Source organism: Homo sapiens, chromosome 15, assembly GCF_000001405.40.
Source record: "Homo sapiens chromosome 15, GRCh38.p14 Primary Assembly".
NCBI classification, from domain to species: Eukaryota; Metazoa; Chordata; class Mammalia; order Primates; family Hominidae; genus Homo; species Homo sapiens.
In genome coordinates this window covers 42,873,726-42,886,571 of record NC_000015.10, presented here as the reverse complement: position 1 = coordinate 42,886,571, position 12,846 = coordinate 42,873,726, and the positions used below count along the sequence as shown (strand labels likewise).

The window sequence follows — 12,846 nt, the reverse complement described above, 5'->3', positions numbered from 1 at the left end:
CGGATTGGGTAATAAAATGCATATTAAGAATAAGGCAGCCTCTGGCCCGCCTGGGTCTAGGGCGGTAAAGCGTCTAAGAGTTGCTGCCAAACGGGCCATGAACTGGCCTGGGTTTTTGTATTTGATGAAAAAGAGCCTAAATGCTAACTGATTTGGGAGAGGTCAGATAAAGAAAAAAGGAGCATTAACCTTGAGTATGCCTTTAGCTCCAGCCACCTCTTTAAGAGGAAATTGTTGGGCAGGTGGGAGAGGGCTAGTCGCAGAACAAAACCATAAGCCAGACTGGGTGTGGGGAGGGGAGGTGATAGAAGGGTTATAGGGTGGGAGAGCAGAAGCTGAAGAAGAATTGGGACCTGGCTTGGCCTGGCGAGGAGCAGCCTGGGGAGAAGGGGAGAGGTCAGATGAGTCCGTAGAAAAGAAGGATTCAGAGGACTCAGAGCTTGGGGTGGAGACTGAAGGAACAGATAGGACAGAAAGAAGAAAGATTTGGAATGAGTCTCATTGGGAACAAATACTAGGGAGGGACCAATGTGTAAAAGATTGCCTGGACGTCAGGCACCTCAGACCATTTGCCCATTTTTTGACAAACATTATCTAGATCTTGCAGGATAGACAAATCAAAAGTGCCATTCTCTGGCCACTTGGAACTACTGTCGAGTTTGTATTGGGGCCAAGCGGTATTGCAGAAGGAAATAAAACGCTTAGATTTTAGGTCAGGCGAGAGTTGAAGAGGTTTTAAGTTCTTGAGAACACAGGCTAAGGGAGAAGAAGGAGGAATGGAGGGTGGAAGGTTGCCCATAGTGAAAGAGGCAAGTTTAAAGAGAAGGGTAGAGACATGGAGAGAAGGGGTGGGGAGTGCTTGCCCCCCAGGAAAGTGGAGAAGGGGTAGAGACACCAAAAGAAGAGGTCGGGGGGTACTTGCCCCCCAGAAAGGCGGTGCTTGCTGCTAAGGGTGAAGGACCAAGGCAGGTGACCCTGCATGGTCAGACACCTCTGAAACGTGGGTGAATAATCAGGCAGGCGTCCCTGCAATGATTAAACACCAAGGGAATGCTGCCTTCCTGAGTCCGTGACTGGTGCCGGAGTTTTGGGTCCACGGATAAAATGTGTCTCCTTTGTCTCTACCAGAAATGAAAGGAATTGAAATTAAGAGAAGGAGAGATTGAAGGGTGACGCCAAGATTGAAAGGAGAAAGAGGTTGAGGGGTAGTGAGAGAGGTTGGAGAGTAAAAAGGGCTGCTTACCCGATTTAAAATCGGTGAGATGTTCCTTGGGCTGGTTGGTCTGAGGACCTGAGGTGATAGGTAGATCTCTTCACGGAGTGAGGGTGAGGACAGGGGACTGGTCTCCCGAAGGAGTCCTGCTGACCCAGGTCTTTGGCACCAAATGTCTCACGTGTCTGTGTGAAGAGACCACCAAACAGCCTTTGTGTGAGCAACAAGGCTGTTTATTTCACCTAGGTGCAGGTGGGCTGAGCCCGAAAAGAGAGTCAGCAAGGGTGGTGGGATTATCATTAGTTCTTATAGGTTTTGGGATAGGTGGTGGAGTTAGGAGCAATGTTTTGTGGGCGGGGGATAGATCTCACAAAGTACATTCTCAAGGGTGGGAAGAATTACAAAGAATGTTCTTAAGCGTGGGGGAGATTACAAAGAACCTTATTAAGGGTGGGGGGAAACAAATCACAATGGTGGAATGTCATCAGCTAAGGCTATTTTCACTTCTTTTGTGGATCTTCAGTTGCTTCAGGCCATCTGGATGTATACGTGCAGGTCACAGGGGATATGATGGCTTAGCTTGGGCTCAGAGGCCTGACACTTATTAGTTTCCAAAACTTGTGCTTTTGTGTTTTTAATGGAGACTTCATTAAGGCCTGATTGATTAAACCATTAGCCATTGGAAATCTACTCAACCTTCAGCATCTCTCTCCTCCCCAGAGCTTGTGAGTGGGGCCGAAAGTTCCAGCCCTCTAATCACAGGGTTGGTTCCCCTGGCAACCAGCCGTCTATCTTTAAAGGTTTCCTAAAGTCACCTCATTAACAAAATCCCAGATGTGGTTGAAAGGGGCTTGTTATGAATAACAAAATTCACTCCTATCATCTTTTATCTATCTGGAGCTATTTCAGGAACCGAGTATAAAAACCAAATATTATACCAAAAGATGCTCCTAGCACCCCAGTCACTTCAGAAATTACAAGGGCTTTATGAGCGCTGAACAAGAACCAGGGACAAAGACCAAATATTTATATTTCTTATTATTAATATAAGCCACAATATCACAACCAAATATATTTTACAATTATACCCCAATGGTACTGTTTTAGCTTCTGTATTCTTGACAATTTTCTGTCTAGTTATTTATTTGGGAAAAGAGTGAAGTCTTCAGTTATAGCTATGGATTTGTCTACTCCAGTTATAACCACGGATTTGTCTGTTTCTCCTTTCAGTTCATTGATTTTTATTTCATGTGTTTTGATGGTCTTTTTAAGGTGCATACATGTTTATAATTTCTTTGTAAATTGGCTCTTCCATGGTTCTGTATCTCTTTTTATCTCCAGTGATTTTCTTTGCCCTGAAGTCAACACTGTCAGATATTATAATAGATACTCCAGCTTTTCTTTTGTTAATATTTGCATGGTATACTTTTTTCCCGTTTCTTTTAACCTACATAATAATAGTATTATTTTTGTTATTATTTTCAGTGGTATTTAAGTATATTCACTTTAACCTACATATTATTTTTGAAGTGAGTTTCTTATAGAATCATATTTATCCTGCTAATCTCTGTCTTTTCAGTGGTGTGTTTATGCCATTTATACTTAAGGTAATTACAGGTAAGTTTGGATTCAGGTCAACCATTCTATTATTTGTTTTATGTTTGTCCCTTTATTTTTGTTCTTCTGTTTCTTTCTGTCTACTTTTGGATTATCTTAACATGTTTTGGTATTCCACTTTATTTTTATTTTTTTTGCTTTTCCTGATATCTCTTTGTGTAGTTTTTAAAGCGGTTGCTATAGGGCTTACGATATATCTACTTTTTACCATCTACTTAGAGTTATTACATTAAATATTAAATGTTATATAAATATTACATAATATGAATATTACATTACCTAAAATAACGCAGAAACCTAACCGCAATCTTGAGTCCCTTTACATGAGTCCCTTTACCATTCTACTTTTTTTTTTTTTTTTTTTGAGGTGGAGTTTCGCTCTTGTCACCCAGGCTGTAGTGCAATGGCACAATTTCGGCTCACCGCAACCTCCACCTTCTGGGTTCAATTCTCCTGCCTCAGCCTCCCGAGTAGCTGGGATTACAGGCATGTGTCACCACACCTGGCTAATTTTGTATTTTTAGAAGAGACGGGGTTTCTCCATGTTGGTCAGGCTGGTCTCGAACTCCCGACCTCAGGTGATCCACCTGCCTCAGCCTCCCAAAGTGTTGGGATTACAGGTGTGAGCCACCGCGCCCAGCCCTCTACCTTTTTTTTGGAGTAGTGTTATATCTGTTTACATTGGAAATCCCTTCAGCCAGTTTTTAATTTTTGCCTTTAACTTGCAAGCATATTTTTGAGAACTCAAGAGGAGAAAATCAGGCTCTTATACTTCCCTGGATTTCTATTGCTCTTCCTCCATTGCTGTTATTCCAGATTTTTCTGTATTATAATTACCCTTTTCTCAGAAGAACTTTCCTTGACAATTCTTTAAGAGCAGGTCTGCTGACAACACATAGTCTTAATTTTCCTTTATCTGAGAATGTCCTTATCTCTGAAGGATATTTTCTCTGCATATAGAATTGTGGGTTGACAGTTCTTTACTTTTAGTACTTTAAATATGTGTTTCTATTTCTTGCTGGCCTTTATGATTTCTGATGAGAAATCCGCAGTCAGTCAAATCATTGTTACCCTATAAGTAATATATTATTTTTATCTAGTTATCATTATTATTGTTATTATTATTTTGAGATGAAGTCTCACTGTGTTGTCCAGGCTGGAGTGCAATGGCGCAATCTTGGCTCACTGCAACCTCCAACTCCTGGGTCCAAGTGATTCTTCTGCCTCAGACTCCTGAGTATCTGGGATTACAGACATGCACCACCACACCTGGCTAATATATATATATATATATTTTGTATTTTAAGTAGAGATGAGGTTTCACCATGCTAGCCAGGCTGGTCTCAAACTCCTGACCTCAGGTGATCTGCCTGCCTTGGCCTTACGAAGTGCTGGGATTATAGGTGTGAGCCACCGTGCCTGGCTGTTTTCTAGTTATTTTTAAGTATATATTTTTTTCTGTTTAATTTTCAGCAGTTTGGTTATGATATGTTTAAGAGTTGTTTTTGTGTGTGTGTGTGTGTTGTGCTTATTGTATTCAGTCAGCTTCCTCAATCTGTTGTTTTTTTCCTTCACAAAATTTGTGAAGTTTTAGCTATTTTTTATTTTTTTCTGTCCTAAACTGTTACCTCTTCTTTTTCAACTCTAATGGCACAAATATTAGAATTTTTGGTATTGTCCCACTAGTCCCTGGGGTCTATATTCATTTATAAAAATATTTTATCTTCACATTGTGTAATTGCTATAGATTTATCTTCCAGTTTACTGACTCTTTACTCTGACACTGCCATTTTTCTATTGACCCCATCCAGTGAAATTTTAAAATTTCATTTACTGTATTTTTCACTTCTAAATTTTTTATTTTTTTTTTTGAGACAGAGTCTCGTTCTGTTGCCTAGGCTAGAGTGCAATGGTGCGATCTTGGCTCATTGCAACCTCCACCTCCTGGGTTCAAGCGATTCTCCTGCCTCAGCTTCCCGAGTAGCTGGGATTACAGGCACCTACTACCACGCCCGCTAATTTTTGTATTTTTAGTAGAGATGGGGTTTCACCATGTTGGCCAGGCTGGTCTCGAACTCCTGACCTTGTGATCTGCCTGCCTCAGCCTCCCAAAGTGCTATGATTACAGGCATGAGCCACCGCGCCTGGCCTAAAATTTTAATTTCTTTCTTTATGTCTCATTTCTTTACTGAGACTTTATATCTTTCTATTCATTTCTAGGGTGTTCACCTTTATTTTTTGGAATATTTTTCCTGATAAGTCCTAAATCTGTGTCATCTTGGCATTTGCATCTATTGATTGTGCTTTCGTATGTAAATTGAGATATTCTTGGTTCTTTGTGTGCTTGGTAATTTTGGATTGTATGCTCAACATTAAAAGGTTTTTTTTTTTTTTTGAAATTTGAGTCTTATTTAAATTCTGTGGAAAATGTTGATTTTTTTTTTTTTTTTTTTTTTTTTGAGACGGAAGCTTGCTCTGTCATCCAGGCTGGAGTGCAGTGGCACAATCTTGGCTCACTGCAAGCTCCGCCTCCCGGGTTCACGCCATTCTCCTGCCTCAGCCTCCTGAGTAGCTGGGACTATAGGCACCTGCCACCACGCCTTGCCTAATTTTTGTATTTTTAGTAGAGACAGGGTCTTGCCATAATGCCCAGGCTGGTCTCGAACTCCTGACCTCAAGAGATCTGCCTGTCTTGGCCTCCCAAAGTGCTGGGATTACAGGTATGAGCCACCATGCCCAGCTGAAGTAATTGTTTTCTGTGTGACTATGGCACAAACTCAGTATGCAATGGATGCAATGGTTTATTTTATTTTTTTTTTAATTTTTTTAGTTCCATAGGTTTTTGGGGAACAGATTGCAGTAGATTACTGGTTTCAGTTTGTTTTGAATTTTTAGAGATTGTCCTTTATTTTTAGTGTTTTTTAAAAATTTTTGTCTCTTGAACATTCCATCATTCATTTTCTGAACAAAATGCTAAATTTATTGTGTGATATACAAGGGAGAGCCATAATTGTAGGACATAATTTCTGTGAATGAAACAAACTGCCCGACCAGGTGCAGTGGTTCATGCTTATGATCCCACCATTTTGGGAGGCTGAGGTGGGAGGATCACTCAAGGCCATGAATCTGAGACCAGCCTGGGCAACATAGTGAGACCCTGTCTATTAAAAATAAACAAACAAACAATGTTATCCAGGTATGGTAGTGCGTGCCTGTAGTCCCAGCTCCTTGGGAGGCTGAGATGGGAAGATTGCTTGAGCCCAGGAGTTCAAGGATATAATGAGCTATGATTGCACCACTGCACTCCAACCTGGGTGACAGAGCAAGACTTTGTTTCAAAAGAAAAAAGAAAAGAAAAGAAACTGCTGGTCTTAAATAGGATTTGAGGAATTATGGAGTTCAGGGATTGGTGAAGTAGGAGTATTTAGGAATTGATTGACCTTTTATTATGTAAATGTGGTTATGAATTGTGGCTGTTGCTGACTGGTGACTTGCTGAAGTGATATCATTCATTCAAAGCTTCCTTTGATGGGCTTAGGATGGGTTTAACACCAGTTCTGATGATTACTTGTTGTTACGGTCCTTTCTGGAATTTGGAGTTTAGAACTTTTTTTTAATCATATGTAAAACATTTACATGGTTCAAAAATCAAAACTATACCACGAGATGCATTCACAGAAGTCTGGCTTTCTTTCTTATCCCTTCCATCCTGTTTTTCTTTTCTTTTCTTTTTTTTTTTTTTTTTGAGACAGGATCTTCTTCTGTCACCCAGGCTGGAATGCAGTGGCACCTTCACAGCTCACTGCAACCTCAACCTTCCAGGCTTATGTGATCCTCCCCGCTCAGACTCCTGAGTAGCTGGGATTACGAGTACATGCAACCACATCTGCCTAATTTTTAAATTTGTTGTAGAGACGGGATCTCCCTATGTTGGCTAGGCTGGTCTCAAACTCCCGGGCTCAAGCAACCCTCTTGCCTTAGCCTCCCAAGATGCTGGGATTACAGGTGTGAGCTACCACTCCTGGCCTGTTTTTTTTGCTATTGAGTAAAGGTTGGTAAACAGTCTGCAGGCCAAATTTGGCCCACTTTTTTTTTTTTTTGTAAATAAGATTTTGTTGGAGCACAGCCATACTCATTCGTTTACATAATTGTGTATGGCTTTTGTGCTGCAGTGGCAGAATTGAGTAGCTATGACAGAGAATACAGTATGTGGCCTAGGGACCGAAATATTTACTCTCTAGACCTGTATTGAAAAAGTTTGCTGACTCCTGCTATAAAGAATCCATCATTTTCATTAAGTTTTGGCTTATTTCTTCTTTCTTTCTTTTTAAAAAACAAAAGCAGATACTTAAATATACTCAACATTTATCTCCTTTTTCTACAAAGTACAGCACCCTTTACTGTCTTGCCTTTTTCACTAAACAATGTATCTTGAAAGTCACTCTGTATCAGTATCTTTCTCATTCCTGGACTGGTTACAGTTTTCATCTCCTTTAGGCCATATTTTTCTGCTATATCTTCATTTTCTACAGGTATGCTGTTCATCTTATTAGTATCCTCTTTTTCTTACAATGTCCTTGAATGAGGTTTGGTCAACAACCCTTTTATTTGTTAGTATTTATTTCCTGTGCATTTTGTAACATTAAAATATTATTAGCTCTAATGATATTAAGCTCTAAGTTACAAACTATAAGCAGTTGTAAATTAGGTACTATGTCTTTTCAGCAGTATATTGTTCTCAGGATAGTTGTCTACCTAGTTCAAGTGCCATTGACATCATGCTTGCCCTATAATCTAACAATCTCAGTTATTATAAATAATATCTGTGTTTTAACGGTGTCTTTGTAATGCCTAGCTATTTCACTGGGCATCTGTAATAGAAAGATACGTGGTTTTAAAAATACGCATCAAACATTTCTAGGTCTTTTTCCCCTTCTTCCCAACAAAATAGCCTAATTAGTGTATAGTATTAGTAGTGCTTCCTGATGCTGGAATGTTATTTGTGTTGATTAGTTAACCCTAAATACTGCTACTATTTTTTGTTGTTGTTGTTTTAGGTTAAATGGAAACCACCCTTGGGAACTGGATGCCTGTGTAGCTGTTCTACCATATCAGTGTATTGCAATGAGTGGGGGAGGAGAGCAGCTGGATATCCTGAGTGTTGGAATCCTAGTGAAAGAAAGATGGAAAGTGGTGAGTGTACATCTCAGAGAGTGTGTGTGTGTGTGTGTGTGTGTGTGTGTGTGTGTATACATATCGGGGGGTAATTTTTGGTATCCTGATAAAAATAGCATTTCATTAGGAAATATTACATACATTACTTATATGCCTAAAGCAGTTATTTACAGTTATTTTTCTATGATTAAGCTCTGTTTATACCCTAATTCTTACTCTTGCTTCGTATAGTACTAAATTTTTGAACAGATGAAAAAAATACAGTGTTTGAAAGTACAATGAGCTGGCCGGGCGCAGTGGCTCTCGCCTATAATCCCAGCACTTTGGGAGGCCGAGGCGGGCGGATCACGAGGTCAGGAGATCAAGACCATCTTGGCTAACACGATGAAACCCCATCTCTACTAAAAAAAAAAAAAGCAAAAAAAATTAGCTGGGCGTGGTGCAGGCGCCTGTAGTCCCAGCTACTCAGGAGGTTGAGGCAGGAGAATGGCGTGAACCCGGGAAAAAAAAAGGAAGTACAATGAGCTGCTCTCTCTTTTTTTTTTTTTATTAAGGAAAATTGTAAGTATACATAAAAAATAGACTTATATAATGAACCTCCATGTTCTCATGACTCAAGTTAAATAGTCATCAATGTATGATTAATTTTGTTTCATCTCTCTCCCAGAATATTTTGAAGCGATATTTAACCTTAGCATTTCTTCTGTGTATACTTCAGTATGTATCTCTAAAAAATAAGGACTTACTTTTAAAAACATAATCATAATACCATTATCATACCTTAAAAATAATCATTTCTTCCCTGCTGACTCCTCCCCCAAGATTGTGTATCATTTTGTCTGTTAGCATGTAGTATTTTTCAGCTACTTTCTACTGTTATAAAATACTGTAGTAGTACTAAAAAAAAGTAATCATTTCTTAATATTACCAAATACAGTTTTAGTTTTCACATTCTCCTGATTGTAAAGTATTTTGAATAGCCTGAATCAAGATCCAAATAAAACCTGGATATTGTAATTAGTTGCCATTACTTTTCATTTCTAGGTTCCTTCCTCTTTATTGCTCTTTTTTTTTCCTTACAATTTATTTACTGAAGAAATTAGGTGATTTGTCTGTAGACTTTCCCATGGTTTGGATTTTGCTATTTGCTTCCATTTGGGGTTAACACATTTCTCTGTCTTGTGTATTTCATGTAAATTGGTAGTTGTATCTACAGGCTTGATTAGATCTGACTTTAGATTTGTTTTGAGATGGGGACATCTTTTTTTCATAAATGTTATTGTGAGCCTTCACTAGGAGGCATATAATATCTTATTGTCCGTCTGTCTATCTTTTTTGTGGTGTTAACACTATTGATGATCATTACCTAGGTCTGTTAGTTAGGGATTGCAGATTGGTGATATTCCATAATTCATTTATTAGTTGAAATGTATCTATAAGGACAAGTTTTTTATCATCAATTATTTGATTATCTTGAGGTACAATTTGATTAGGAAAACAAGATAAATACTTGCTTCTCTTTTTTAATTTACCAGTTTTCAAAACAATGAATTGGTTTCTTGCCATTCTCCAAAAGTGATCAATTAGATTTGTTTTTTAGTGTAATTAAGAATTCATGGATTTAATCAAATTTGATGTGTTTCGGTGAATGGTAGTTATCCTTATAAATGTTTAAATTGTCTTATTTGACTAAGGGGACACACTTCACATTGTCTTCTGAGTTCTTTTGACAGGATCCTAATCGTCTTTCAATGGCTTTCTTTTCCTAGACCTGGAATCTGCCATCTCTCTAATACTGCTTGTTTCTTAAAGGAACTATTTTTGTTTGGGATATATTTAAATATTTTTTTATTGCTACACAGTCCACCAAAGTTTTTTTCCATTAGTAGGTTTCACAAAGCTATTTTAATGGTTTCCTTAATCTATGAACAGATTGGAAAAAGAAGACCCTTTAGAAATAGAATTTTTATTTTTTATTTGTATGGTACAATGTGTTTTACTGATTAGGTAAGTCAGTAGGCTTTGAAAATTTACTTGACCAAATATAAGGAAACTATGTCATTATCATGGACTAGTGCAGGGAGATTCAGCAGTTGCTAATCTTTTATGTAAGTCAGACATGAGTGTTGCTTTGGTGAGAGGATTATAGTAAGCACTGTGTTAAGGCTGGTTTGTTCTCCAGTGGACATATCAAAAGGTGACAAGTGAAACTCTTGATTGGCATGGTTCCCTTGTCCTGGTAATTAGAACTAATATATCTGAGCAACTTATCTCCAAAATTTGGGAGGGCATAGTGGCATTTTTAGTTAAAAAAAAAATGACAAGCTCACTGTTATGGATGGTGTTTTAGTTATTTATTGTTATATAACAAACTACATCAAAATTTAGAGGCTTATTTTGCTTACAGTTTTGTGACGTAGGAATTTGGGAAGAGTTTGCCTGGGTGATTTGTCTCTTAACCATGTGGCACTAGGAAGATTGTTTTGGTTAGAGGATCCATTTATACATGGTTTCTTCACTCACTTGTCCGGTATCTTGAGGTCCTTAGCTCTTCACCCCCAACCCCCAACCCCCAACCTGGTGGCTCATTTTCTAGGGCATCTCCATGTGGCTGTGGCTTCTCAGGATGGTCCCATTTCTTTTTTTTTTTTTTTTTTTTTTGAGACGGAGTCTTGCTCTGTCGCCCAGGCTGGAGTGCAGAGGCGTGATCTCAGCTCACTGCAGCCTGCGCCTCCCGGGTTCAAGCGACTCTCCTGCCTCAGCCTCCCAAGTAGCTGGGATTACAGGCACGCGCCATCACACTGGCTAATTTTTGTATTTTTAGTAGAGACGGGGTTTTGCCATGTTGGCCAGTCTGGTCTGGAACTCCCGACCTCAGGTGATTCACCTGACTCGACCTCCCAAAGTGCTGGGATTACAGATGTGAGCCACTGTGCCTGGCCAGATGGTCCCATTTCTTACATGGTAGCTAGCTTTCAAGAGACAGGAAATGGAAGCTCCCAGGCTGGTTAAGGGCAATCCTCAGAGCTGGCACAGTGTCACTTTGCCCTATTCTGTTGATGAAAACAGTTAAGGGGAAAATGGACTCTACCTCTTGGTGGGGGAGTAGCAAGGTCACATTGTTTTCATCAGTGTGAAAGGTTTTCTTCACATTGAAGAAGAGCAGGAATGGATGATATTGTTGTGCCTATCGTTGGAAAATACAATCTTCCACAGACCTTACCTCTATTCTTCTTGTAATCTGTGTACCCCAATCATACTAAACTGCCTCTGTCTCTTTGCCTCATAAACCTTGATAATTTCTTAGGGCTTTGTCAGGCCAATTAAAAAATGCTGTATTAATGTTTAAATGGCATTATAGGAATAGAAATAGACTAAGAAGCAAGAACATTTACTTCAGCCTAGATGTTTTATTCTGTCATTTGGTAAGGTTTTTTGTGAGGTAAAACGTGAAGCTACCTCTACCAGTCCTTAGTTAGAAAGGAATCTGTTTGGTACTGTTTATGAGTTTTTAAACCTACACTAGGTTTTATTTAATGGACAAAATATAAAGAATCATAAGTATCAATTTTTTTTTTTTTTTGAGGCAGTCTCACACTGTTGCCCAGGCTGGAGTGCAATGGTGTGATCTTGGCTCACTGCAACCTCTGCCTCCCAGGTTCAAGCGATTCTCCTGTCTCAGCCTCCTGAGTAGCTGGGATTACAGGCACATGCCACCACGCCCGGCTAATTTTTATAATTTTAGTAGAGACGGGCTTTCACGATGTTGGTCAGGCTGCTCTCAAACTCCTGACTTCATGATCCGCCCGCCTCGGCCTCCCAAAGTGCTGGGATTACAGGTGTGAGCCACCGCGCCCGGCCACTTCTGGAACTTTAAAAAAATCTTGAACTCATCCTGTAGTTTCAAGTAGTATTCCTTTCCCATCACCAAATGAAAATAAAGCAGGATCGGCCGGGTGTGGTGGCTCACGCCTGGAATCCCAGCACTTTGGGAGGCAGAGGTGGGTGGATCACCTGTGATCAGGAGTTTGAGACCAGCCTGGCCAACATGGTGAGACCCCATCTCTACTAAAAATACAAAAATTAGCCAAGCGTGGTGGTGCACACCTGTAATCCCAGTTACTGGGGAGGCTGAGGCAGGAGAATTGCTTGAACCCAGGAGGCGGAGGTTGCAGTGGGCCAAGATCATGCCACTGCACTCCAGCCCTGGCAACAGTGTGAGACTACCAACTCAAAAAATAAAAAAATAAAAAAAATAAAAAAATAAAGAAGGATTATGGCTCACATGTGCAAAGTAATAAATATAGGATTATATTTATAAGTTAGCACTTTGCCAAATGCTATGGGGGACACAAGGAAATAGAATAGAACAAATGGCCATCTCTTTGAAAAGGCTTAGTTTCTCTGTAGCAGGATAGGACATTGACAATGGAAAGTTAAGCAACATGACAGTTTGAAAACAAGTTATTTCATGGACAGGTCTTTAATTTAAAAAATACAAGGCAATAATACAAGTGCTATCTGAGGTATGGCCTGGTAAAGTGATTAATTGAATGATTAAATAAATAATTACTGTAGAAATTCAGAAGATAAAGAAATTAACCTAGATATAGTAATCAGTGAAGATCAAGTGGAGAAAGAGGTAGAACATGGAGCTGGGGTGTCTTGAGCTGGTTATGATTTAGGACCCTGTGCCTATGATGACTTCCTACATTATATCACATCCTGGATGTTGGATAATGTGATAAGGAGACAACCTAGTTTCAGGAAATGGAAAAAAATTGCTGTATCTAGCTTGAAGTATCTACCCCCACAACCCAGCTTTCAGACACTACAGGTGC

General features: G+C 39.4%; 1 protein-coding gene across 7 annotated transcripts in view; it reads left to right on the top strand.

The window, feature by feature from the left end:
* The window catches only part of TTBK2 (tau tubulin kinase 2), a 182,271-nt gene that overhangs the window by 34,429 nt on the left and 134,996 nt on the right, over positions 1 to 12,846 (top strand). For 6 of the 7 annotated variants that reach the window (XM_006720402.5, XM_047432189.1, XM_005254173.6 and 3 more), the window contains exon 2: positions 7,888 to 8,023. In XM_006720402.5, coding sequence (XP_006720465.1) covers positions 7,888 to 8,023 — 136 coding nt within the window. Of the gene's footprint in view, positions 1 to 5,534; positions 5,551 to 7,887; positions 8,024 to 12,846 lie in introns of those variants that run through there. The other variant, XM_047432190.1, reaches the window with a different exon arrangement.